This window comes from Homo sapiens, chromosome 12 (genome assembly GCF_000001405.40).
Source record: "Homo sapiens chromosome 12, GRCh38.p14 Primary Assembly".
Lineage (NCBI taxonomy): Eukaryota > Metazoa > Chordata > Mammalia > Primates > Hominidae > Homo > Homo sapiens.
Window position 1 is genome coordinate 96,207,680 of NC_000012.12, and position 23,523 is coordinate 96,231,202.

At 45.5% G+C, this 23,523-nt stretch overlaps 1 protein-coding gene across 11 annotated transcripts in view, besides 2 other annotated features; it reads left to right on the top strand.

Moving 5' to 3' along the window:
• ELK3 (ETS transcription factor ELK3) overlaps positions 1 to 23,523 on the top strand; it is a 75,450-nt gene that overhangs the window by 13,305 nt on the left and 38,622 nt on the right. For 9 of the 11 annotated variants that reach the window (NR_182215.1, NR_182213.1, NR_182214.1 and 6 more), the window contains one exon: positions 15,886 to 16,094. Coding sequence is in view for 7 of the 11 variants with exons in the window: in NM_001413761.1 (NP_001400690.1) it covers positions 15,888 to 16,094 (207 nt within the window). In the remaining 4 variants the exon portion in view is untranslated. Of the gene's footprint in view, positions 1 to 5,048; positions 5,163 to 15,885; positions 16,095 to 23,523 lie in introns of all 11 variants that reach the window. The other 2 variants (NM_001413760.1, NM_001413764.1) reach the window with 2 other exon arrangements.
• Positions 2,423 to 2,945: an enhancer, noted in NCBI's record as "H3K27ac-H3K4me1 hESC enhancer chr12:96603880-96604402 (GRCh37/hg19 assembly coordinates)". NCBI's record gives its function as "activates a minimal SCP1, AML or CMV promoter by ChIP-STARR-seq in naive H9 embryonic stem cells {active_cell/tissue: H9 hESC(naive)}" and the evidence as "EXISTENCE:reporter gene assay evidence [ECO:0000049][PMID:30033119]".
• Positions 16,295 to 16,344: an enhancer, noted in NCBI's record as "active region_6826". NCBI's record gives its function as "activates an Ori minimal core promoter by ATAC-STARR-seq in GM12878 lymphoblastoid cells {active_cell/tissue: GM12878}" and the evidence as "EXISTENCE:reporter gene assay evidence [ECO:0000049][PMID:35858748]".

Consider the following 23,523-nt stretch of genomic DNA (forward strand, 5'->3'; position numbering starts at 1 on the left):
CGGTCATGAATACCAGTAACTCATAACCATTTTTGCAAGAATACTGTATAGAGTGGGACCCAAAGACTGGGTAATGTCAGTATTATCCAACTAAACCTTGACATGTTTTGGCAAATGTTAAACTTCAGAAAAAGAAAGAAAAGATGAATAATGCAATTAACCCTTTGTATAATAAATTATCAGCAATTCAAATATGCTGTAAAGTGTTAACACTGATTGTATCCTCTAAATAGTGTCTAGCTCAGCCAACTGTTATCCTTTGCCATATCTGTGTACCATTTAAAAGAGGGATTAAAAATAGTTTCAGTGGATTTACTCTACGAAGGGAGAAAGGTAACTTTTCCAGGTAGGCTGATGTTAGAGGGCAGTTTTTTGTTTTTTGTTTTTTTTTGAGACAGAGTCTCGCTCTGTTGCCATGTTGGAGTGCAGTGGCATGATCTTGGCTCACTGTAACCTCCGCCTCCCAGCTCCTAGCGATTCTCCTGCCTCAGCCTCCTGAGTAGTTGGGATTATAGGCGCCCGCCACCACTCCCACCTAAGTTTTGTATTTTCAGTAGAGACGGGGTTTCGCCATGTTGGCCAGGCTGGTCTGGAACTCCTGACCTCAGGTGATCCACCCACCCCGGCCTCCCAAATTGCTGGGATTACAGGCGTTAGCCACTGCACCCAGCCAGAGGGCAGGTTTTTTTAGTGACTTAACCATCCAGAAATGATTAAGTTTACTTTGTTATTTTAAATTCTATAGAGAAGATAAGAAAGTTCCCAGTTTTCCTGAGAAGAGCATGCAATGGCGTCTCTCCTTCTCCAGGCCACTGCCAGGGCTTTCTGTGAAGGAGCTGGAAGGGAGAGGGTCAAGAGTTCTTGTTGCTTCATCCAGTTCCCAAGAAAATTATAGCCTGATGTGTCATGCATTGTGAGAAGCAGGCACTGGTGAGGAGAGACGAGTTTTGGTGGAGGCAGTAAATGAAGTGCAACCAGATTTAAATGACCTCCAAGGAGCCTATGAGATGCACTGTGGCCTTGGTAGGACAGGGGAGCAGAAGTCATGCTCACACCAGAGGGAGTTTTGCAGGGACTGGAGAAAGGAGCTGCAAGGGGAGGAAGAGGCTCTATAACTCTCTCCAAGATAGAACCAGGGAGGTAGAATGGCTGTGCAGATGTTGGAGGTCCCGGGCCAGGTGCAGCTGGGCCAGGGAAAGGGGAAGGTGCACAGATGGTTGGGCACCTCTCTGCCAGGAAACACTCATTGCTGCATCAGGACTGGGGTGCCCAGCACAGCTGTGCAGACTTCCCGGTCCCCAGGATCCCTTGGGGATCCTTCTGAGAGGAAGGGGTGATGTCACAGCCCACACCTGACCCCACCTGGGACCCCTTCCTCCCCAGGGTTGCACCATCCTTCCTGACCCTGCCGTGGTGCAGCGTGTGTGCACACGTGCAAAACAGAGACAGGGCAGACGTGATGTTAAAGGCCATTTGTAAGCACAACAGATTGCAGGATGCCATCGATGCAAAAAGAGTTTGAGAGAGGAGCTAACACATGAGATTTTCTTTTATTAAACATATTTTATCTTGCTTTTTTTTTTGTAATGTTTCCACTGGGTGGTGCTGCAGGAATTCCTACCTTTTGCCTTGGATCTACCCTTCCCAGAAAGACGCCTCTAAAGCATAATAGGAGGAAGTCCTGATTTAGAAAGATTTTACAGTTTCAACACAATAGAAGAGTTGGAGGATGCTCTGGCAGGAAATGTTTCAGTTTCTGGATGTGGAAAAACCGCCATCATTTTGTATCCATGCAAAAAGGTTCTCATTGCACTGGGTAAATACTTTCGACTTTCATCAGCTTCTTCTTTAGCACAGAAAATCTTTCAAGTTTATCAGAAAGATTAGGGTTTCATTCTAGTGGAAGTGGTCTGTAAGATTTCCTTTATTTTGATTTTTGTAACACCATCTTAAAGTAAGTAAATAAACATTTTCTTACATTGACAACCATAGATTTAAGAAAATACTTCTGTCAAGGCTGTCTTTAAAGCTGAAGACATTGTTCCATCCTTATTATAAAGATCATTTATACAGTGTACTGATCAAAAGGATTACATATTTTTACTTTCAAATACTTTCAAGAAGTCTTTTAGTTTGATAGTATGTAAAGGATAAGACTGACTTTACCCCTTCTACAGAGGAGAAGGTTGAAATACAGAAGTTAACATCCCTGCTGTAGCTCACACGACTTTTTCTCCTTTTTTTTTTTTTTCCTACATTTGACCAAGGCACAGAAGATCACACAACTTTTTAAGGTTTTGGCTGCAATGAGGATTTGTTTATCTTGACCTCCCCCAACTTTTTTTCTGTTGTACACAGGATTGAATTGTATTGATATTAATAGTACAAAAATTTGGGGAAAAGATTTTCCATTCAAGCAAAGGCCTCTGAAACATAAGAATCAAAAGTAGTATGAGGGTCGGGGGGCCAGATGCCCACTGGGGATTTGAGAGCTCATTAATTTAAAGCTCAAACTGAAAGACAGTTTGTAAGATCCTAGTAAGTTTCACTGACTGCGGAACAGCCTGTTTTTTTCGGGGCATGTTGTGGTCCTCCATGAAATCCTAAACACTGCTTTCTTAGAACCTGAAACAGGCTTCCCTAGAGGTGTTTCTTTTTAAAGGAAAGTTTTGGAGGCACTGCTGGGTACTAGGGACCTTGCCAGATCCTGTCATGCACGGTTTCCCTGGGATTCCAGCCTGTCCCTATTCACACTTGAAGTGCTTCTCATGATTCGTTTCGTGATGTGAGGTGCATGCATGTTTGGGGCCCCTCTTGGGCTAGGCTAGCTCACTTCTGTTTCCTCTGACTTTCATCCTGTTCCACCGCCCTGCGCGCGGGCGCACGCACACACACACACACACACACACACACACACACCCCGAGTGGGAGGTCCAGGGGCACCGACTTCCAGAACACGCAGCTTCTCAACGGCCCACTTGTATCGAGAACCACCCTTGCTTATTTAGTGTTGGGTGAACCTTGAACCTATTTAAACCACGATACAGATCTTTGAAAGGAGGGCACTGGTTAACAAAATGGTGGATGGGGTGGATTCAAAGATTCTTTCTTGAAACAACCCAACTGGAGCAGCTGGAGACACAGATGAGGCAACACCAGAAATGAACAAGGAAATGTCCTGATTTGATTCCTAGTAGGAATGTATTTCCCACGCATTACAATGAGACGTTTCCCTTAGCAGCAGTGAAGTGTGCATATGAGAAAAGAAGCCTCTACTGGGGGCATATGCGCGTTGATTAAGAACCTGGACTTTGGAGCCAGATGCCCCTGGATATGAGGCTCTGTTGGCCCATTTTACCCATGTGGCCATGAGTGTCTTATTTCACCTTTCGAAGTCATAGTTCCTCGTGGGCACAGCCAACTGAGAGTATTAAATTTAGACAGCATGTATAAAGCACTCAGCACAATTCCTGGTACATAGTAAGTGGTCATCAAATTTAATTGCACTAAAAAGAAAAGCTCCTATTTAATAAAGTAATGGATTTCTTTAGGTATGGGCGCTGTTCTTCAGAATTCCATGGGATCTCAGCATTGCTGGTGGTGGAGGATATATTAATAGCTAACGTTTTCTTAGAACAGTGCTCTTAATTTGAAATTTATAAGTTATTTTTAGAGTTTTATAAATCCTGGTGAAATTATGTGTATTTTGTATAGCTGTATATTTTTCCTAGAGAATTTTAGATTGTCAGAAAGGTCCATGGACCAAATATGTGAAGAGGAAACTGCCCTGGGGATGTCATTGTGTGTTTGTGTGTGTGTGTGTGTGTGTGTGTGTGTGTGTGTGTGTATCAGTTTTATGTATGTGAATATATTTTAGGTTGAATATATGAGATTGCTGGTATTTAACTAGTTTTGATCTCTAAAAAGAATAATTTCTTACAGTTCAACTTAATAGTTGTGATATTATGAAACAATTTGAAATATATCACAATGTGATATTTATAATGAAATATGATTGTAGCTTATTTTTGTACGTTATTTATCAAAGCCTAGCAAGTTAAAATTCATCAGGCAGCCTTGGACCACTAGTAACCATATTTACCTAAAATAACTTGTGCTTTTCCATTGACCTTAATCACAGGAAATACAAAATAAAAACTTTTCTGTGTCCAGTATTATGAAACAGTCTTTAATTTTCATTGTGGATTTATTAATAGCTTTATTACATCTAATGAATCATTTTTCTGATCCAAATGACTACTGTTTAGGAGAATCTGCTTAGTATTTTTTCCCTGTTGAATTCACAATGTTAATTACTTTGGGGAGGAACAAAAATTCTGAGTTTTCTTGGGCGATAAGAACCTCAGTGTTGTTTCAGAAGGCAGAGTTGGGCTGCAGTACTGAAGGTTAAAACAGAGCTAAAACACAAGACAAAATGAAACCAGAGCTGCAGTGACAAAGTGGGACAGATGTAGGAGGCCAGGTTTCCTGTGGCCCATTTTCCAGTTTCCTGCCTGCAACCTGCAGAAGAAGAGGAAGCTGAATGTTACCAAGTATGAGAACTGCGGGACGTGCTTCAAGCTAGAATTAAGAGAATGCAAACAACACAGGCAACAAAAACAATTGCAAAGAAAGTGAATGTTCAGGTTTTAGTCCAAAAATGTCTGGGAAGGAACAGCCCATCTGTTTAAAGAAAAAGCATTGTCAGCAGAGCTTGTCCTTCCATGTGAGACTCTGAGGGGGCCTAGGGACTGCCTCAGGTTGTAGGAACCTCTGTTTTTTATAGCCCCACTCATCTTTCAAGACATGGTCTGCTGTTTTAATACAGAAGGTTACCTGAAAAGATTTTCCCTGCAATTCCCAGGACTTCTAAATCTGTTTCCTGGGGATGTTGTTATAGGGGGGAGGTGGATGTGGTTAACCAAGCAGCTCTAATGAACGGCAGCCTCAATTTGGGAAGGCCGGGTGACCAGTTGGCTGCTTTGATCTAGGAGGCTTATATTCCTTTAACCACCCAATAAAATTTTTGTCTGATGTTTTCAAAGAAGAGATTAAATGAAGATGTGTGTGTGTTGAAGACTGCATAGTGCACACTCTGTGTGGCTACCGGTGAGCCACGTGGCGGGATACAGGACTCAAAGAAGATCACACTGGAGAAGGGAGTGAGTTCATCTTTCTCGCGGGGGAGGGGGAAGCAAAATAAAATTATTTTTTCTAGGCTCTTTAGCTCATTTTGGAAGAGTCTGTGAAGTCAGATCTTACAATACCCATCTTAGAGAAATCGAGAGCCAAAGAAATTGTGATTCATTACACACCTTTTAATTGAGTACCTATTGTTTGTCAGGGGCTGTGTTGGAAGTGCTGGGTAATGCAAGTGAAATGATGGCTAAAAATAAATAGCTGTTTATGTGTTGTGGAAGGCTTCATATAAGGCATATACGAAGGGGGCATAGAAACCTTGTTGAAGGTTTAAAACATATATAAGCCTTTGGCGCAGTGCCATGCTTTTTCCACACACCATCTCATTTAAATTGCCTTGCTGCTTTGTGCTACAGAGAAATAGGGTGTGCTTCTGGGACAATCAGTTATTTCTTTACCCTGCAGATTGACCACCTCTTCTTCTCTAAGCCCAGAAAGAACAAACTCTATCCCAGGAATCTTAAAAAGTTTTGGACTGTTAGGGATCAAGAGGTACCCACACGAGGCAGCCTTGGATGGAAATAGGCCCTTTTCTGTCTTACTGTGGGCCCGCTCTGAAAATGTAGGATAACATAGGGCTGGGTTGTATGGTGGTTATTAGGGTGGGGTGCGGTGAATTCTGTGGGAAAAAGTCGAATGGTTGTAAGACATTTTCTCAGCCAGTGTTAACGAAGCCATCATTTACTACTCACCCATATAAAAGTCACTGACAAACCAATTGAGTTACTTCTAATTTAGCCAGAGACAGCATAGTTCCAGAAGGAAAGAGGGGTGTTCCTACACACAGTAAATTGCATATGTTGTTATTTCAGTGGTTGTCAGTGATTTCCTCTGAAAAATCTCTCTTTTTTTTTGTTTTGTTTTTGAGACAGGTTCATGCTCTGTTGCCCAGGCTGGGGTGCAGTGATGTGATCACAGCTCACTGCAGCCTCAAACTCCTGGGCTTAAGTGATCCTCCTGCCTCAGCTCCCCAAGTAGCTGGGACTACAGGTATGTGTCACCACATCCAGCTAACTTTTGTGTTTTTTGTGGGGATGGGGGTCTCGTGTTGCCCAGGCTGGTCTTGAACTCCTAGGCACAAACTGTCCTCCCTCCTCGGTCTCCCAAAGTGCTGGGATTACAGACATGTAATCCGTTCATTAAAAACCCAGTAATCCTTGCATTGTGCTAGATATTACATTGTGCTAGATATAACATGTACAGGCATGTAATCCCAGCAACCTTTCTCTTTCCCAAGATGGAAGAGTTATTTAAAAAACATTGCAGACTGGGCCAGACACGGTGGCTCACGCTTATAATCCCAGCACTTTGGGAGGCCGAGGTGGGTGGATCACCTGAGGTCAGGAGTTTGAGACCACCCTGGCGAACATGCTGAAACCCTGTCTCTACTAAAAATACAAAAATGAGCCGGAGGCAGTGGTGTGCGCCTGTAGTCCCAGCTACTCGGGAGGCTGAGGCACGAGAATCACTTGAACCTGGGAGGCGGAGCTTGCAGTGAACCGAGATCACACCACTGTGCTCCAGCCTGGGCGACAGAGCAAGACTCTGTCTCAAAAAACAAAACAAAACAAACAAACAAAAAAAAAAACAGCAAAAACCATTGCAGACTGTAAAGAGTAAGTAAATAGGTGAGCAATACCTACTTTTGTTTACCTTTTTTAAAATGAACAATTTGTAGATATTCACAGAATGCAAATACTTGTTAATAAATGAAAAGCTTGGGAGACATGAAGTTGGCCTCATGCCTTTTTTATACACAGTGATAATGATCAAAATAATTTAAATGTCCTTTGAAAATAAATTTAATAGTCTTCCAACTCACAGAAATAATAAAAAACTTCAGAACTTGTATAAGTTTTTTTTTCAAATATTATCCTTATTTACTTAATACCTTACACTTACTCTGTGCTGAGTTATTGCAGATCCCTAATAATATAAAATGTTGTCTTCCAGTTCTTTGACTGAGGTACAGGGTTCATTTTCTATAATGAAATGGCTACTACCCTTTGTCTTAGACAATGATAGTATCATGACATGGAAATGCATAGCAGATACTGGCAGAGGAGTTGAACTCAGCAGAATTTTCAGTAAGAAGTGTTCAAATCCATCTTCATTTCTCTAACCATGCAAAATTTAACAAACGAAAAAAGACATGGGTACCTCATGAGCACCTATTTTGTTTATTCCTTACCCAGAAGTTTTTCTCCTTTTCTTGGGCTCTCATTGCCTTTTTTTTTTTTTTAAGTTGCCTCGTTTCTTATTTCCCACCACATAGAAGCTTAAGAAAATCAAAGCTAATTCTGCCCCCTCAACTCCCACCTCAGTAAAAATGAAACAAGGAACATGCAAAGGGAAGTGCTAGGTTGCCATCAGTAGAAAGAAGAACAAATAAGTGGGCATTTCGACTTCTAAGAATGGAGGCAAAAACCTCATACTTTGCATAAGGGGTCTGTGCGGCCCTTGCTCACATTAAGACGTCGGGCGCCACCTTGTGGCCGACAGGAAGGAGGTCAGCTTCCAAGAAGAGGCCAGTAGCTTTTCGGTGACAGAGGCAGGAGGCAGCTGGGACACCTGAAGCTGGGATCGTGTCATGTGACCTGACAGCTCTCACGTAGGCGGAGGCGGGCACAGCGTAATGAGAATGATCAATATTTCTGTCAATAGCATCTTTCTTTTTGAGGCTCCGTCGGATTAAAGAATGAATCAAAGTTAAATAAAAACATGGGAAAGACTAAAGAGGGACATAAAACCTTTTTTTTTTTTTTTTTTTTTAAAGAGAGATGGTCTCGCTCTGTCACCCAGGCTGGAGTGCAGTGGTGCAATCACAGCTCACTGCAGCCTCTACTTCCCAGGCTTAGGCGATCCTCTCACCCCAGCCTCTTGAGTAGCTGGGTGGACAGGCGCGGACCACCAGACACAGCTAATTTTTGTATTTTTTGTAGAGATGGGGTCTTACTCTTGCCCAGGCTGGTCTCGAATTCCTGGGCTCAAGCGATCCACCCACCTCGGCCTCCCAAAGTGCCAGGATTACAGGCGTGAGCTATCACGCCTAGCCTCAAAACTGTTTTCATAACTGCATTCTTTAAGTGCAAAAAGCTGAAAACAGAATAAGGGCAGAAAATAATCACTCAGAGTCTGCAAAAATGTCCCTCCCCTCTGTGCCAGAGGTCAAGCGTTTTACTCTCGGCCTCTCTACTCTGTGTCTTTTGCCCTGACCAGCCCGTGAATGCCCTCCTGTAGGGCCCCATCTGCAGCGGCTATGAGCGGTGTTGTCATCATTGTCCCTTGGCTTGTCATTTAGAACATCTTTCTTTCTTCGCTATCTGACCCAACAGCTCTCATGTACTTGACTCTCCTTCCTGCTCCAGAGAAACCACATAGATGGGAGCCGAATGTACCCCAGGGAAGGAGAGAGCCCCAGGGACCCTCTTTGCTGAGGTCACACAGCTTGGAGGCCTCAGGGTCAGCATTTAAACCAGTGTTTGTTAAGCTGGAGTCGGAGAATCAGTGCCCTAGCATCTGAGTTTTCTGCAAGCATTTACGATTTTTTGTGCTTTCATATTTGATGATAGACTACAAAACAGAAGCATACTCCAAGTCACCTTATAAACCACAGTCGCCATGTGGCTGAAGAGTCTCCCTGGATTTCAGTGCCTGTGTGGGGCTCATTGCCTAATGGACAAAGAGCCCAGGTGGGTGCTGTAGCTACACAATGCCTTCTAGCCTGGTGAAGGCCATGTGACTCCACAGCAAGCTCTGTGAGGAGGATTCCCTGTAGCTTAAAAGGTAATTGTAGTTAACATTTAAATAGCACTTACTTTGCCCCAGGTGTAGTTTAAGTGCATTATTAGTAACTTCTGTAACTCTTACAACAACCCTGTATGATATGATACTTTTATCATATCAGTCCCATTTTACCTATGAGGATACTGAGGCACAGAAAGGTTAAGTAACTTCCCCAAAGTCCCACAACCAGACAGGACGAGTCTTTGCTGTTGAACCCAGAGAGTCAGGTGCCAGAATCTGCGCTTACCTTCCAAATAGACAAAAGTGCTTCACTAGCACCTGCTTTGAGTTATAGAAAATAGCTAAACAGCTGGATGCGATGGCTCATGCCTGTAATCCCAGCACTTTGAGAGGCTGAGGCAGGAGAGTTGCTTCAGGCCAGGAGTTGGAGACTCCTGAGCAACATACAGAGATGGTCTCCACAAAAAATTAAGAAATGAGCAGGGCGTGGTGGCACATACCTGTAGCCCAAGCTACTTGGGAGCTAGAGATGGGAGGATTGTTTGACCCCAGGAGGCTGAGGCTGCAGTGAGCCAAGATCGTGCCACTGCACTCCAGCCTGGCTGACAGAGTGAGACCTAGTCGAAAAGAAAAGAATTATGCTTCAGTGAAAAACTGCATTCTTGACTCTAGAGAAGACTCCCTCCGGATGATGTGATTCTGATTTTTTGGAAGGTATTTTACAACGTTGTTGACTATAGGTAACTGATCATGAAATAATTCTCGTCTATAGACAGCCAAATTCTGTCTTACAGAGTGCCATTGACTCCCACCCCTAGTTTTGCCTCCATTTAAGCATTTATTTCAATGTTCTTCTTCTATAAATGCCTCTATTATTCAGATGCTTTTTTGAACTCATTATAACGTCTGCCTGGTTCCCTACTGAATTATGAGTGAAATAAAATCTCGAACGTGTTCATTTTGATATCTGTATGAGAGCCATGATTTAACCCTCTTTTGAAAATTATTTTTTAACAAACCAATTCCTCAGCTGGGCACAGTGGCTCACACCTGTAATCCCAGCACTTTGGGAGGCCGAGGCGGGCAGATCACCTGAGGTCAGGAGATCGAGACCATCTTGGCCAACATGGTGAAACCCTGTCTCCACTAAAAATACAAAAAAATTAGCTGGGCGTGGTGGTGCGCACCTGTGGTCCCAGCTACTTGGAAGGCTGAGGCAGGAGAATCGCTTGAACCCGGGAGGCAGAGGTTGCAGTGAGCCGAGATCGCACCACTGCACTCCAGCCTGAGGGACAAAGAGAGACGCCGTCTCAAAAAAAAAAAAAAAAAAAATCATTTGTCAACACTGAGAACGAAAATCACTTTTCCTCCTCCTCCTTTAAAGGAGGTATGCATATGATTCACGTTTGACAAGCTGCTCTAAATCATCTAACTTCACTCTACCATGGCAGATCACAGCTCTGCATTACAAAGGGAAAGGAGTTGGGGCAAGTAACAGGTGGTTTTGCCCTCTGGAGTAGGAGTGGGTGGACCTCAGCCCCCTGTGACCATGGTCCTGGTCAGTGCTGGTAGAAATGGTGAGAGACCAGCCAGAGACGGGAAGGCCCTGCAGGCTGCAAGGTTGAGGTGAGGTCAGAGGAATCCAGAAAGTATCAGATGTGAAGGGGGCACCTCTTCCTGTAAGAGCAGCAATGCCTTTAAAAGCAGACTGATGGGCCTCAGTATGAAAGCACAGAGTTCGATTCTGCAAAAAGAATGGCATTAAAATACCTGATAAAATTTTGTACATTCAAAATAAGGTCTGATAAGGACGGGAATAATAGACTGGGGACTCCAAAAGTGGGGAGAGAGGGAGGGAGTGAGGGCTGCCAGATTACCTGTTGGGTGCAGTGTTCGCTATTTGGGTGGTGGGTATGCTAGAAGCCCAATCCCCGCCATTATGCAGTATACCCATGTAACAAACATGCATGTATACCCCCTGAATCTTAAAAAAGTGGGGGTCTAGGCAGGGGAAAGATAAGCATTTTTTTTTTTTTTTTTTGAGACAGAGTCTCGCTCTGTCACCTAGGCTGGAGTGTAGTGGCGCGATCTTGCCTCACTGCAAGCTCCACCTCCTGGGTTCACGCCATTCTCCTGCCTTAGCCTCCCGAGTAGCTGGGACCACAGGCGCCCGCCACCACGCCTGGCTAATTTTTTGTATTTTTAGTAGAGACAGGGTTTCACTGTGTTAGCCGGGATGGTCTCGATCTCCTGACCTTGTGATCCGCCCGCCTCGGCCTCGCAAAGTGCTGGGATTACAGGCGTGAGCCACCGCGCCCGGCCAAGATAAGCATTTTCTCATTAGATAAAGGGAATTTTAAAAAAAAGATTTCTAGCATGCCTTTTATGTGTTCTACATTTTTGAAGCTCAGAGTGGTGGGAAATCAGCTAAGTAAAGTTAGGCAGATGAAACATTTTAACTTAGAGCAGGCCTCCATGTGCATAATAATCTATCAAACATAAATCTCAAGTACCACCACTTTTTCAATTGTTGATTTAATAAAAGCCACAGTGTACTGTCTGAATTACTCACATTCCTTAAAGTGGCATCCAGATAAATGGGCTTTATTGTACCTGCCTGTTAAGACATTGGACTTCATTAAGGATTCTAGGTATCAAGGAATTAATTTAGAAAAAAAAATCGTTTAAATTTTTTTTCCGGTGAGAGAGATACTCATATAGATGAGTTTACGAAAATCTGTAGTGTTAGCGGTTATTGGAAGGGCGTACCTCCCAGCATGATGGTACAAAGTCTGTGTTTTCCAACACCCCAGAGGGCAAAATTTCCAACTGGCAGAGGCGCAGTGGAATGTACAGTGTGATTGTATGTGAAAATAGTTGTGTAAATTATGAAACTTGATCTCATAGTTAAACTACGTCGAGTGGAACGAAAACAATATGGAGAGCGCTGTGGCAGCTGGTGGCCCACTGCCCACCTGTCCCCCTACCCAAACCTCTGCCACAGACAACCACGCATTTTCATCATGCAGATGGCTCTGGCCAGAGAGGATGGTGGGTCCCAGAGCTGCCTGGGGGCTCCACGATACCCCAGAGTGACTTCTGAGCGTAGACAGGAGTGACTGATCTTTGTAGATGCAATGATAAGCTCACAGGAAAGTAGTTTTTCGACTTAGCTCTGAGTAATGTCTGGCTGCGATTTCCACCGGGAAGGCTACATGACTGCCCAGTCATCGAAACTGGTGGATCCACCAGGTTGAAGGAGTGGCTCAAGAGAGCGCGAGAAGAGGAGAACGAGGCCCTCAGCACGGGGCGAGGCTGGGCATGCCTCAGACAGGAGAGGCTGGAGCCCTTAGTCACCTCCGCCGGAGCAGTGTTGCGCATAGCAACCCCTCTGAGTAATCCTCTGATGATCCCCTGTGCCTGCAGCTGCCACCCAAGCTCTGCAGCTTGGTTGAACTGTGGGGGCATTTCTGTGATTCCTAGTGAACAGCTCTTGCCTTCTCTAGGCGAGTTCCTTTATTCCAGAAATCTGGGAGGCCCTGAAGCAGTAGGTCCCCATCCCCACCACTGCTCCTCTGCCTGTTCCCTTTCTACTCTTTCACCTGTCCTTTTTGTCCTTTTTCTTTCTTTCTCTCCTTCTACCTTTGCCTGAGGTTATGGCCATAGCACCCATGGCTGCCACTTAGCCCATGTGTGGCCTCTGAGTAAAAATGTGATCAGCCGATCCCTCCACACCTAGTAGCATACTTTTTCGTGATTTTTTTTTTTTTTTTTTTTTTGAGATGGAGTTTCGCTCTTGTTGTCCAGGCTGGAGTGCAGTGGCGCGATCTTGGCTTACTGCAACCTCTGCCTCCTGGGTTCAAGCTATTCTCCTGCCTCAGCCTCCCAAGTAGCTGTGATTATAAGCGCGGGCCACCACGCCCAGCTGGTTTTTTGTATTTTTAGTAGAGATGGGATTTCATCATGTTGGCCAGGCTGGTCTTGAACTCCTCCTGACCTCAGGTAATCCACCTGCCTCAGCCTCCCAAAGTGCTGGGATTACAGGCGTGAGCCACCACAGCCGGCCTTTCTCATGATTTTGAACACAAGCTCTAGAGCATAAAGATAACAGCACCCCAGCAAAGGGAGAATTTTTTTTTTAAACAAAGACATCATGTATTTTAATAGTCAGCTTTTGCTGCAGTGGTGCTGTGTAACCAGTTGCCCCAAGATCACTGGCTTACAGTGGCATTTATTTTTCTCACAAGTCAGTGTCACGGATGCTGCTTCAGATGATGGGCGGGTGGGGCTTGGCTTCGGACTTTGGGTTGAGTTCAGGTCACCTCCATGTGTCTCATTCTGGGGCAGCAGCTTCCTGGCAGCATAGCACAGGAGGAAAAGTGCCAACTTATGATGCCTCCAAGACCCCAACTCGGCAATGGGATGCTGTCACTTTCCCGTGTCAGTCTCCTGGCCAAATGCAATCACATGGCAAAGCCCCAATGTCAGCACTCCTCCCACAGCCACTCCAGTGCAGGGCTACACAGTCACCTAAGGAGAGGGCAGTTGAGAACATTTAACAAGTCTGCCATATGGGTTCTCATAAGTCATGCCCAGAACATGGTCTCTGACACATGGGGTTGGATTGCAATGAAAAGTGATTCTGTGATGCACAAGAAGCTCCGAGGAGGCCAGGCAGGTGGAAATGCTAAGTGTAGTAAAATACATGGATAGATGTTTCTGCTGCCCTCCTGTCCCATTCGGAACGTGATGTCAGTTAAAAGTGGGGGGTGGCGGTGGCCGACCACTTTCCCACCTGGCATGTGAGCAGAGGCCCCACAGTCCCTTCCCTGCAGACCTCCAAACCCACCGGCAGCCTTCTGCCCTCAGGAGCAGATTCATCTGAGCAGGCACTTAAAGTTTCAAAGATATGTTAAAGCTGACTGACTGACATGTTTGGCCAAGAAAATCTCAAGAATTTGCGACAACTGTTAGCCGTTCTTAGTGCCAGTGAAGAGAAGAAAGTTGTGGCTCATATCCAAGTCATCAGAAGGGTGGTTCATAGGAGGAGTTGGGACTCGTCAGCTGCCATGCATCCCAGCAAAGTGGGGGCTTGCAAGATTTGTGAGATGCAGAGGTGGTTTTGACCCAGCAGTGAAATGACTGTCTTACAGACCATTGTGGTTAATACTGATTTCTGTAAAGAATATCCCCTTTAAAGAGCCCTAAATAAAATGCCCTGTGGGTAATTGGAGAGCACTCCTAGTCTACTTTCCTTTAATTGAGAGGAGTTGTGGGGTTGACAATATTGGTACAAATAACCCTCCCCAAGGCAATTATTCTGGCTTCCAGGTCTCCCAGAGCTGCCCCCTGGGTTGCGGTCACTCCAGGTTCAGTCCCCTGCCCCCCGCCCACCAGGACTTCAGTGTCTCCCTCCTATCCAAGGGGATGATCCCTAGCTCTCTGTGCCACTCACAACAGTTGATCCGTGGCAAAGCTTTTGAGGCCAGTCTAACCACCTTTTTTTAAATGTAATGAGGATTGATAACACAAATGGATTATTATTATTATTACTACTTAGAATCAATACCTATTGTCATGAAAGTCCTCAAAGGCCTGAAATTGAGAAACTGCCCAGGAGTGGGGAAAAACTTCCTTGAGAAGGCCCTATTTGAGCTGGGTCACAATGGATGAGAAAGAGTTCACCAGGCTCCAAAGCTAAGGAACAGCATTTTAGCCAGAAGAAATAGCATTTAAAAAGTTCACACCAGAGTTGAAGGAAAAGGATAACATTGTATATATAGGTTTTTGTCTCTTCATGGGAGAAATTGCTTTTCCCATCTGTGCATCTGTGATGGTGGGCTTTGACCTGCAGCATGGTGAGTGCCGGGAAAGGGAAGGTCTCTGCAATTGGCAGTGATTGTTCGGTTTCACAAGCATCCACGGACTGGGCAGCTTTGAGCATTGTATGGGTTATCAGAGTGCTGGCAATACAAAATAATCCAGCAAAGTCCTTTCCTCGTGAAGCTCATCACAGTAGGAAAGGCAGTTACACTTAGACATATACCACAACCACAGGAGAGATATTCCAGGCACCTGTATAAAGTATGGGGTCCAGCATTTTAGTTAGAGACCGACTATATTAGTTCTTTCTCACATTGCTATAGAGAAATACCCCAGACTGTATAATTTATAAAGAAAAGCGGTTTAATGGGCTCACAGTTCTGCAGGCTGTACAGGAAGCATGATGCTGGCATCTGCTGGGTTTCTGGGGAGGCCTCAGGAAACCTGCAATCATGGCAGAAGGCAAAAGGGGAGCAGGCGTGTCACATGGCCGGAGCAAGAGCAAGAAAGCGAGGGTCAAGGTGCCACACACTGTTAAATGACCAGATCTCATGAGAACTCAGTCACTAACTCAAGGATGGTACCAAGGGAGATGGTGCTAAACCATTCATGAGAAATCCACCCTTAGGATCCAGTCACTTCCCACCAGGCCCCACCTCCAACGTTGGGGATTACAATTCAACATGAGATTTGGGCGGGGCACACATCCAAACTATATCACGGACCCACAAAGAAATTGATGGGATGGGCGGGAATAGACACTTGTGTTAAGTGGGGAATGGTTTGAATGGGGACTCATTCTGCAAGTGGTCATGTCATTAATCATTGTTCTGCATCATTCCCCATGCATCGCTGTCACTCGTGGGGACATGTGGTGAATAGAGGAGGATCACAGGGCCTCCCTGTATTTCTGAATTGTGGCTCCTTACAGAAATGCAGCCAGGAAGCTCCTGGTTCAGAGTGGCCCCTTGAGATGGAAGTGAAAGCTACTTTTTATTAGGTTCACTGGGGGAAGGAGGGGACAGCTGAGTTGCCCATTCTGAAGCCCCCTCTCTCCTCGCCAAGTTTGGTCGGCATCGTGACCAGCAGCTCTGACCTGGCCTCCTCTCCCTGCAGGTATGGAGAGTGCAATCACGCTGTGGCAGTTCCTGTTGCAGTTGCTGCTGGATCAGAAACATGAGCATTTGATCTGCTGGACCTCGAACGATGGTGAATTCAAGCTCCTCAAAGCAGAAGAAGTGGCCAAGCTGTGGGGACTCCGAAAAAACAAAACAAATATGAACTATGATAAGCTGAGCAGAGCCCTGCGATACTATTATGACAAGGTAAACCCTTGACCTTGCATGGGGCCGTCTTGGGGAGGGTGGAATCCCCTCTGCGTAGTTCACTGATGAAAGAAAATAATAGCGTGCTATGAATCAAGTTAGAAAATAAAATAGGGGCAGTGCATACCTTCTTTTTGGAGAAAAGCTGTGCTGTAGGGATTTTCCCCACCCTCTGGACGCCCTTTGGATATTACTGAGGGTCACATTTTGTTTCTTCTGCATTTTCGTCTGAGTTTGCTGAAGAACTTTGCTCACAATACAAATGAGATGCAGGCAGGCTCTGGGGCTTTCCTCATGTTGAATTGCTTGAATGACACAATGCGTGTTAAAATCCGGAAAGTCTGTTTATCCTGTCTGGTTTGTGGTTCAATTAAAGGGACCTTTCCTGGAAGGTGGTAGCTTTGGCAGATTATTTTTTAACAATTCAGTGCCTCAGTATCCTCGTTTATAAAACAGGAATCAGCATAGGAATAATAATAGGAATAGGAATCCTGTCTCAGGATTGTGGTGATGACCGACCGAGCCATTACATGTAAGTACTTAGAACGCTGCTAATAGGAGTAGGAATCCTGTCTCAGGATTGTGATGACCAACCGAGCCATTACGTGTAAGTACTTAGAACACTGCTAATAGGAGTAGGAATCCTGTCTCAGGATTGTGGTGATGACCGACCGAGCCATTACATATAAGTACTTAGAACACTGCTTGGTATGTGGTGCTTGCAACTTCATGGGAAACTTCCCTAATTGGAAGAAAAAACATGTTCATTTTTAAGTCATAGAGATGAGGCAGAGTGCCTTGATAAGTGATAATATAGCGTAGTTGCCAAAACCAGGACAGTTGGAGTGAGTTTTAATGCATTTCTGGAAAAGCAGTTTTAATGTGCTTGCTAGGGCAAAATTATTGCTGTTTAGGAGAACCATTTCAGGCCTTAATTGTTAGCCATTTCAGTTTGAATCTGTTGTTGCTGAATATTTAGCCTCTAAGACATAAAGGCATAGAGCCATGATAATGGTAAGCTTTTGTTCTGGTTTTATTGTTCATATTAAAAGGTGAATTAAAAACTGATTTAAATATTAGTTCCTGATCTATATTTAGGGTATGCCGTCTGCCAACCCCTTTGGAATTCAAGACATAAGGATTATACGTTTCAGGAAGTAGAGACATCATTAATTATAAAGTGTTCCTTTATGTGATCGTAATTGCACGTGATTGTGTCATTGAAATGCTAAAGGTGCTCTCCTTTAACGTAGCAATTAATTAATCCTGACTTACTGCAGAGTCCTACTAAGATATAAAAGCACTTCTTGCAAATTGCACTGTCTGAAAGCCTCGCAGATGGCTTATTGTTTTGCGTGTTTTCCCAGGTTCTAAATTCTGCAGTGGGAACTGGGGCCGCTGAAGGAAAACACTCCCGTTGCCTGCTGGCAGAGTGCCTAAAAGCTGGGCTTTGAGACTCAAAAAGCATTTTCATTGTTTTCAATCAAGGTATCAAAAAAAGAAGTCCTCCCTCTGTGTCTGGGACTTGACTCATCTCTTCCCTGGCCTGGGCCTGGGGGCTTAAGGGTTGTGTCTCTTTAGCATGAAGGGTTGTCCTGGGCTGGAAATGACTGCTCACAAAATTAGCAAAGCCATTCCTGTTTAGACTATATCTTATCTCCCTTGGGCAGATTTTAAAATCTCTAGAGAGAGCAGTTTCATAGCCTTCAGTCAACAAGTATGTTCTGGCACTTTCTGTCAGACGTCTAAGGTGCTGTGCTGAGCACTTCTTCCCCTTGTCTCCTTTAAACTTTACAACAACCCCATAGACAGGTGCTGCTGTCATCATCCTCCTTATACACATGAGAACGTGGAGGCTTGGATGAGAAACCTGCCCAGGTGCACACAGCCAGTGAGCAGCAGAGCCCGGATTTGAACCCAGCTGGTCCACCCAGGTTCCCAGCCAAAAGGCACACACACACCCTGCCTTCTGGGCCATTCATTTCCTTTGCCTTTGAGTGTCTTGAGTTCCAGGTAGGCAGTCAGGCTGTCCAAAGGGTATTACAACCTAAGAAGTTTTGTTTATTACCAAGAGCCTCAGGCTGGGCATAGTGCCTCACACCTAATCCCAGCACTTTGGGAGGCTGAGGCAGGAGGATCACTTGAGTCCAGGAGTCTGAGACCAGCCTGGGCAACATGGTGAGACCCTGTCACAACAAAGAATTAAAAATTAGCCGAGTGTGGAAGTGCATGCCTGTAGTCTCAGCTACTTGGGAGGCTGAGGTGGGAGGATCATTTGAGCCTGGGAGTTTGAGACTGCAGTGAGCTCTGATTGCACCACTGCACTCCAGCTTGGGCAATAGAGGGAGATCCTGTCTCTTAAAAAGAAAAAAAAAAGGAAAGAAACAAATTCAGTACTGAAAAATCCCAGCAAACGATGTGTATCAGGTAGAGCCCAAGGTCAGGAGTCCAGGTGGCTGGTGTGGCCTGCCTGCCTGCACTGCCCCTTTCTCTCTTGCCAGGCAGAGCATGGGGGCTGGCCACATGACCTTTGAGCAGCCCCAGGCATCAAGCTGGAGCTGGCAGTAAGGGCAGGAGCAGCCTCCTATCCTGTTGTATCATGTAGACTTTGGCCACCAGAAGAAATTGCTCCATGTCTTTCCTTCTACAGATATACCTGTCCACATGCACACACACACACAAGTATACACATACACACCTGTCCACATGCACACAGAGATGTCCACATGTGCACACCCATGCCCACACAGATGTCCACATGTCCACACAGATGTCCACATGTGCACACCCATGCCCACATGCACACACAGATGTCCACATGCACACACACATATGCCCACATGCACACAGGCACACACACCCACTTGCACATACATATCCACATGCACACGTGGCCACTGCCATATGCACAGACATGTGCACACGCATACATGTACATGTGCACGCATGGCTGGTTAATTCTTGCTTATAAAATGCTCTCAAGTGATGAGCAAGACGGAAAGTTAGACTCTTAATACAGTTTAAAAAGAAAAGAAGGAGAGGGGGAGGAAGATAAGAAGAAAAGAGATGGTTGAGGGAAATGGAGGGGAGAGGAAAAAAAGAGGGGATGGAGAAGGAGGAAGAAGAGGAGGCATGTCAAAAAGAGATGACGAAAACTACACTCTATTTGACATTTTCCGATGACCTCTTTCTTCCTTCCGTTTTGCCAGTGTCACTCTGTGATGATAGGTGTAAGTTGACTGTGTGCATTGCCCGTCTGTGACCGTTTTCGACTCACAGAAATGGCAGTCTGAAGTGGCTCGGCCTCTTGCTTGAGAGACAGATTGGAGCAGAGTCTTTGTGGATGCAAAGCCACCTGGGCCACTGCCGTGTGTGCCACCCTGAACTTCAAGCTGCCCTGAACCGCGTGCGTTTCTCAGTGTCACGTACAGCTCGGCCTGACCGTTTGCCTTTTAGTGTTCTCTTCCTTCTCGGTGTCCTCCTCCTCTTCCTCACTAACATTCATCCAGAGCCTTTCAGTGCAGAAATCAGGTAGCTGCTGAACTCGGCAGCTGCGTCCTTTTTCCCATCATCTCTTCTGTCCTTTGCTAGCTGTCATTTCTTCCCTCTTGGCTTCAACTGCACATCCCTGGGTTTGTCCTAATAGGGAATTTTTCCCACTTGAGTAGACAAGCATGAGAATATCATTATTTTTATATGTTATATGTTATATTTTTAGCAGAGAAAAAAGTGGAAAATGTGTGCAAACTTGCAGAAGGCCCCCCGGAGGAGGGTCGTCCCTGTGCCCATGCTGTCAGGAAGGCCCCGGAGGAGGGTCGTCCCTGTGCCCATGCGGTCAGAAAGGCCCCGGAGGAGGGTCATCTCTGTGCCCATGCGGTCAGGTTGGGGCTGAGGCACTTTGATCATTGCTCCTCCTCAGAGTGTTCTTTTCCTCCCCTCTCAGATTATAATAACGAGGTAGTTACAGAGTGAGCTCCAGCCTAGATCGTCTGGGTTTGAATCCAGCTCCATGACTGTGGCCGTGTTGCCTAATCTCTCTGAGTCTCAGCTTCCTTTTCTGTAAAGTGGGTATAATAGTAGAGTCTACACTGTGGGGCTGTGGTGGGATTCATTGTGTTCACACGTGTGCAGGGCTGAGAACAGGGCCCCAAACAGGGTAGGCACAATGAAGCATGAGTCAGAATAATAATACAGATGACAGTTTCTCTATCACTAATTTGAACATTGCAGACAGTGCAAAGAAGAAAATTAGAAACTGGGAGGATCACTTGAGCACAGGAGTTCAAGTCCAGCCTGGGCAACGTAGTGAGACCCCTGTCTCTTTTTAAAAAATTTAGCACAATTTATTAAAAAAAAGAAGAAGAGGCCGAGCATGGTGGCTCACGCCTGTAATCCCAGCACTTTGGGAGGCCAAGGTGGGTGGATCATGAGGTCAAGAGATCAAGACCAGCCTGGCCAACATGGTGAAACCCCGTCTCTACTAAAAATACAAAAATTAGCTGGGCGTGGTGGTGCACACCTGTGGTCCCAGTTACTCCAGAGGCTGAGGCAGGAGAATCGCTTGAACCCGGGAGGCAGAGGTTGCAGTGAGCCGAGATTGCGCCACTGCACTCCAGCCTGGCGACAGAGTGAGACTCTGTGTCAAAAAAAAAAAAAAAAAAAAAAAAAAAAGAAGATCAAAACCTTTGTTGCTACGTTGCTGCTCAGGCACATGGAGATAGGGAAACGCCGGATCTGAGTATTATGGCCCTTTTCACTTAGGACCTATCAGGAGCACTTTGTCGTGCTTTTTAATGACTGAAGACAGATGACAACAGTTTCTTTCCTCAGTTGCTTATTTTCATATATTTAATCTGTTCTGAAAATTCAGCTGTGAAGATGCTTTCTTATTTAAATGACTCTCCCTCACCGCTCTGAATCAAAGCTCTGGCACTTCTCTGAGCACCTGCAGTTGGAGCCAGTCTCCACCTTCTGGACTGTCTTAGTGACTGGTGGGAGCTTTGTATCCAGAGCCCTCGAGGTTAAGAGTCCAGCTGTCCCTCAACCTCAGCGTCTCAGTTCACCCATTGGAAAGTGGTGATGGGAACAGCACCCTTCCTTGTCGGACTGTGTGAGGATGGAAAGAGAAGATAAGATGACGCGGATAAGGTGCTTAGCACAGTGTCAGGCACCTACTCAGTGAAGGCTCCTCATTCCAGTTATGTGTATTTATAAAACTGACTGTATTATGTCGTAGCTGTCTGTATATAGCTGACTTCATCGTGGCCTTCTGGATGCACCACTTTTGTCGCTCTGGTACCTCGGACAGGGTCTGGCATGTATTAGTTGCTTAGTAAATGCTAGACGAGTGAACAAATGGATAAAACACTGATGTGTCCACTACTCAAGTGCACACCATTTATGTCATGAAAGTTGATATTAATGAGTGATAAACTAAAAAATAAAAGTAGTCACTGCTTTTTGTTTATTGTCCCGTAGTTTCCTAGGGCTGCCAGGTCAGATGACCACAAACTGTAGGTGGCTTAAAACAACAGAAATGTGTTGTCTCACAGTTCTGGAGGCCAGATGTCCAGAGCCAGGGTGTCAGCAGAGCTGTGCTCCCTCTGACTCAGGTGGACTCTTTCTTGGCCTCTCCCCAGCCCCGGGCTTGCCAGCAGTCCCTGGCGTGCCTTGGCTTGCAGCAGCCTCACTCGGATCGCTGCCCCCATCATCACATGACGTTCTCCCCATTCTGTGTGTCCAGATTTTCCTTTTTTTTTTTTTTTTTTTTTTTTTTGAGACAGAGTCTTGCTCTGTCGCCCAGGCTGGAGTGCAATGGCATGGTCTCAGCTCACTGCAAACTCTGCCTCCCAGATTCAAGGGAGTCTCCTGCCTCAGCCTCCTGAGTAGCTGGGACTACAGGCATGTGCCACCACACCTGGCGAATTTTTGTGTTTTTAGTAGAGATGGGGTTTCAATATGTTGGCCAGGCTGGTTTTGAACTCCTGACCTTGTGATCTGCCTGCCTCATCCTCCCAAAGTGCTGGGATTACAGGTGTGAGCCACCGTGCCTGGCCGATTTTCCTCTTCTTATGAGGATACCGGTCATTGGATTAGGGCCCACCTTAATGCATTATGACCTCATCTTAACTTGGTTACGTCTGTAAAGACCCCTTTCTAAATAAGGTCCTAGTCACAGGTATTGGGGATTAGGACATCAGCATAGTTTGGGGAAGGACAAAATTCACTCTGTAACACCTCCATATACAGTCATGTACCACATAATGTTCTGGTCCACAGTGGGCCACGTATATAACAGCGGTCCCATAAGACTATAATTCCATATTTTTACTGTACCTTTTGTACGTTTAGATACGTTGAGATACATACATACTTACTATTATATTGCAGTTGCCTACATACAGTATTCAGTACAGTAACGTGCTGTACAGGTTTGTAGCCTGAGAGCATATAGCATAGCCTTGGTGTGTGATAGGCTAGACCCTCCAGGTTTGTGCAAGTACATGCTATGATGCTCGCACAACAACGAAATTCCCCAGCGACACATTTCTCAGAACGTAGCCTCATCGTTAAGTGATGCATGACTGTATTTCAGACACTGCTGGGCTTTTTGTTTAGATTTTTAAAATTATACTTAAAAGGAGAGTGTTGGTTTCCCTCTATAAGTGATGGTTCGATTCAGCAAATCCTAAAAGGAAACTGCTCCCCATGACAGGCACAGCACCTAGATTCTGCAGCAGGTATAAACACTAGACTCCGTGACAGGTGTGACACTAGAATCAAAGACACATCGCTGAGCCAAGTCCCCAGGGTGGAGACAGGTCCACCCAAGAGGAGTCCTGCCTTGGAGGGATTCAGAGTTGCTGGGAATTGAGCAGCTCCCTGGTCTCGAAGTGCACATGATTTTAATAGATGACTTAAATGGGAAGAAAAGGCGACCCTGGGGGCGCCAATCCCGGATTGGCAGTGCTGGGATCGGAGGCTCTGATCACTGTGCTCAGAGGCTCCTTCCTGCATCTACAGTTGTGCGGAGTGCACGTGACGCAGGTGTGGGGAAAGTCTGGAGGGCCAGGGTTCCGCATCCGAGCTCCACCAGGGAACTGCTTTCCCCAGTTAAGCTTTTGTAGAGGCTGCGGGGCAAACCCAATTATAATTCCAAGAAAGGAGTGATGCCCCATCCAGGGAGCGGCATGTTTTGCAACCCGGGTATGGATGAAAGGCCCCTGTTGATTTGAGAAACACACAGGTCATGGGAGGTGCCTGTGGCTGAGCCCGTGAGGGGCAGAAACCAGAGTCCGTAGAGGCCTAAACAGGACATTTAACTGAGGCCTGGGCATTTTACACTTCCTCTCTGTCAAACAGCTTTTTCCCTTGGTCTTGTTTTAAGCCCTAGGAGATAGGTTTGTTACTGTAGTTCTGATGGTGTGAA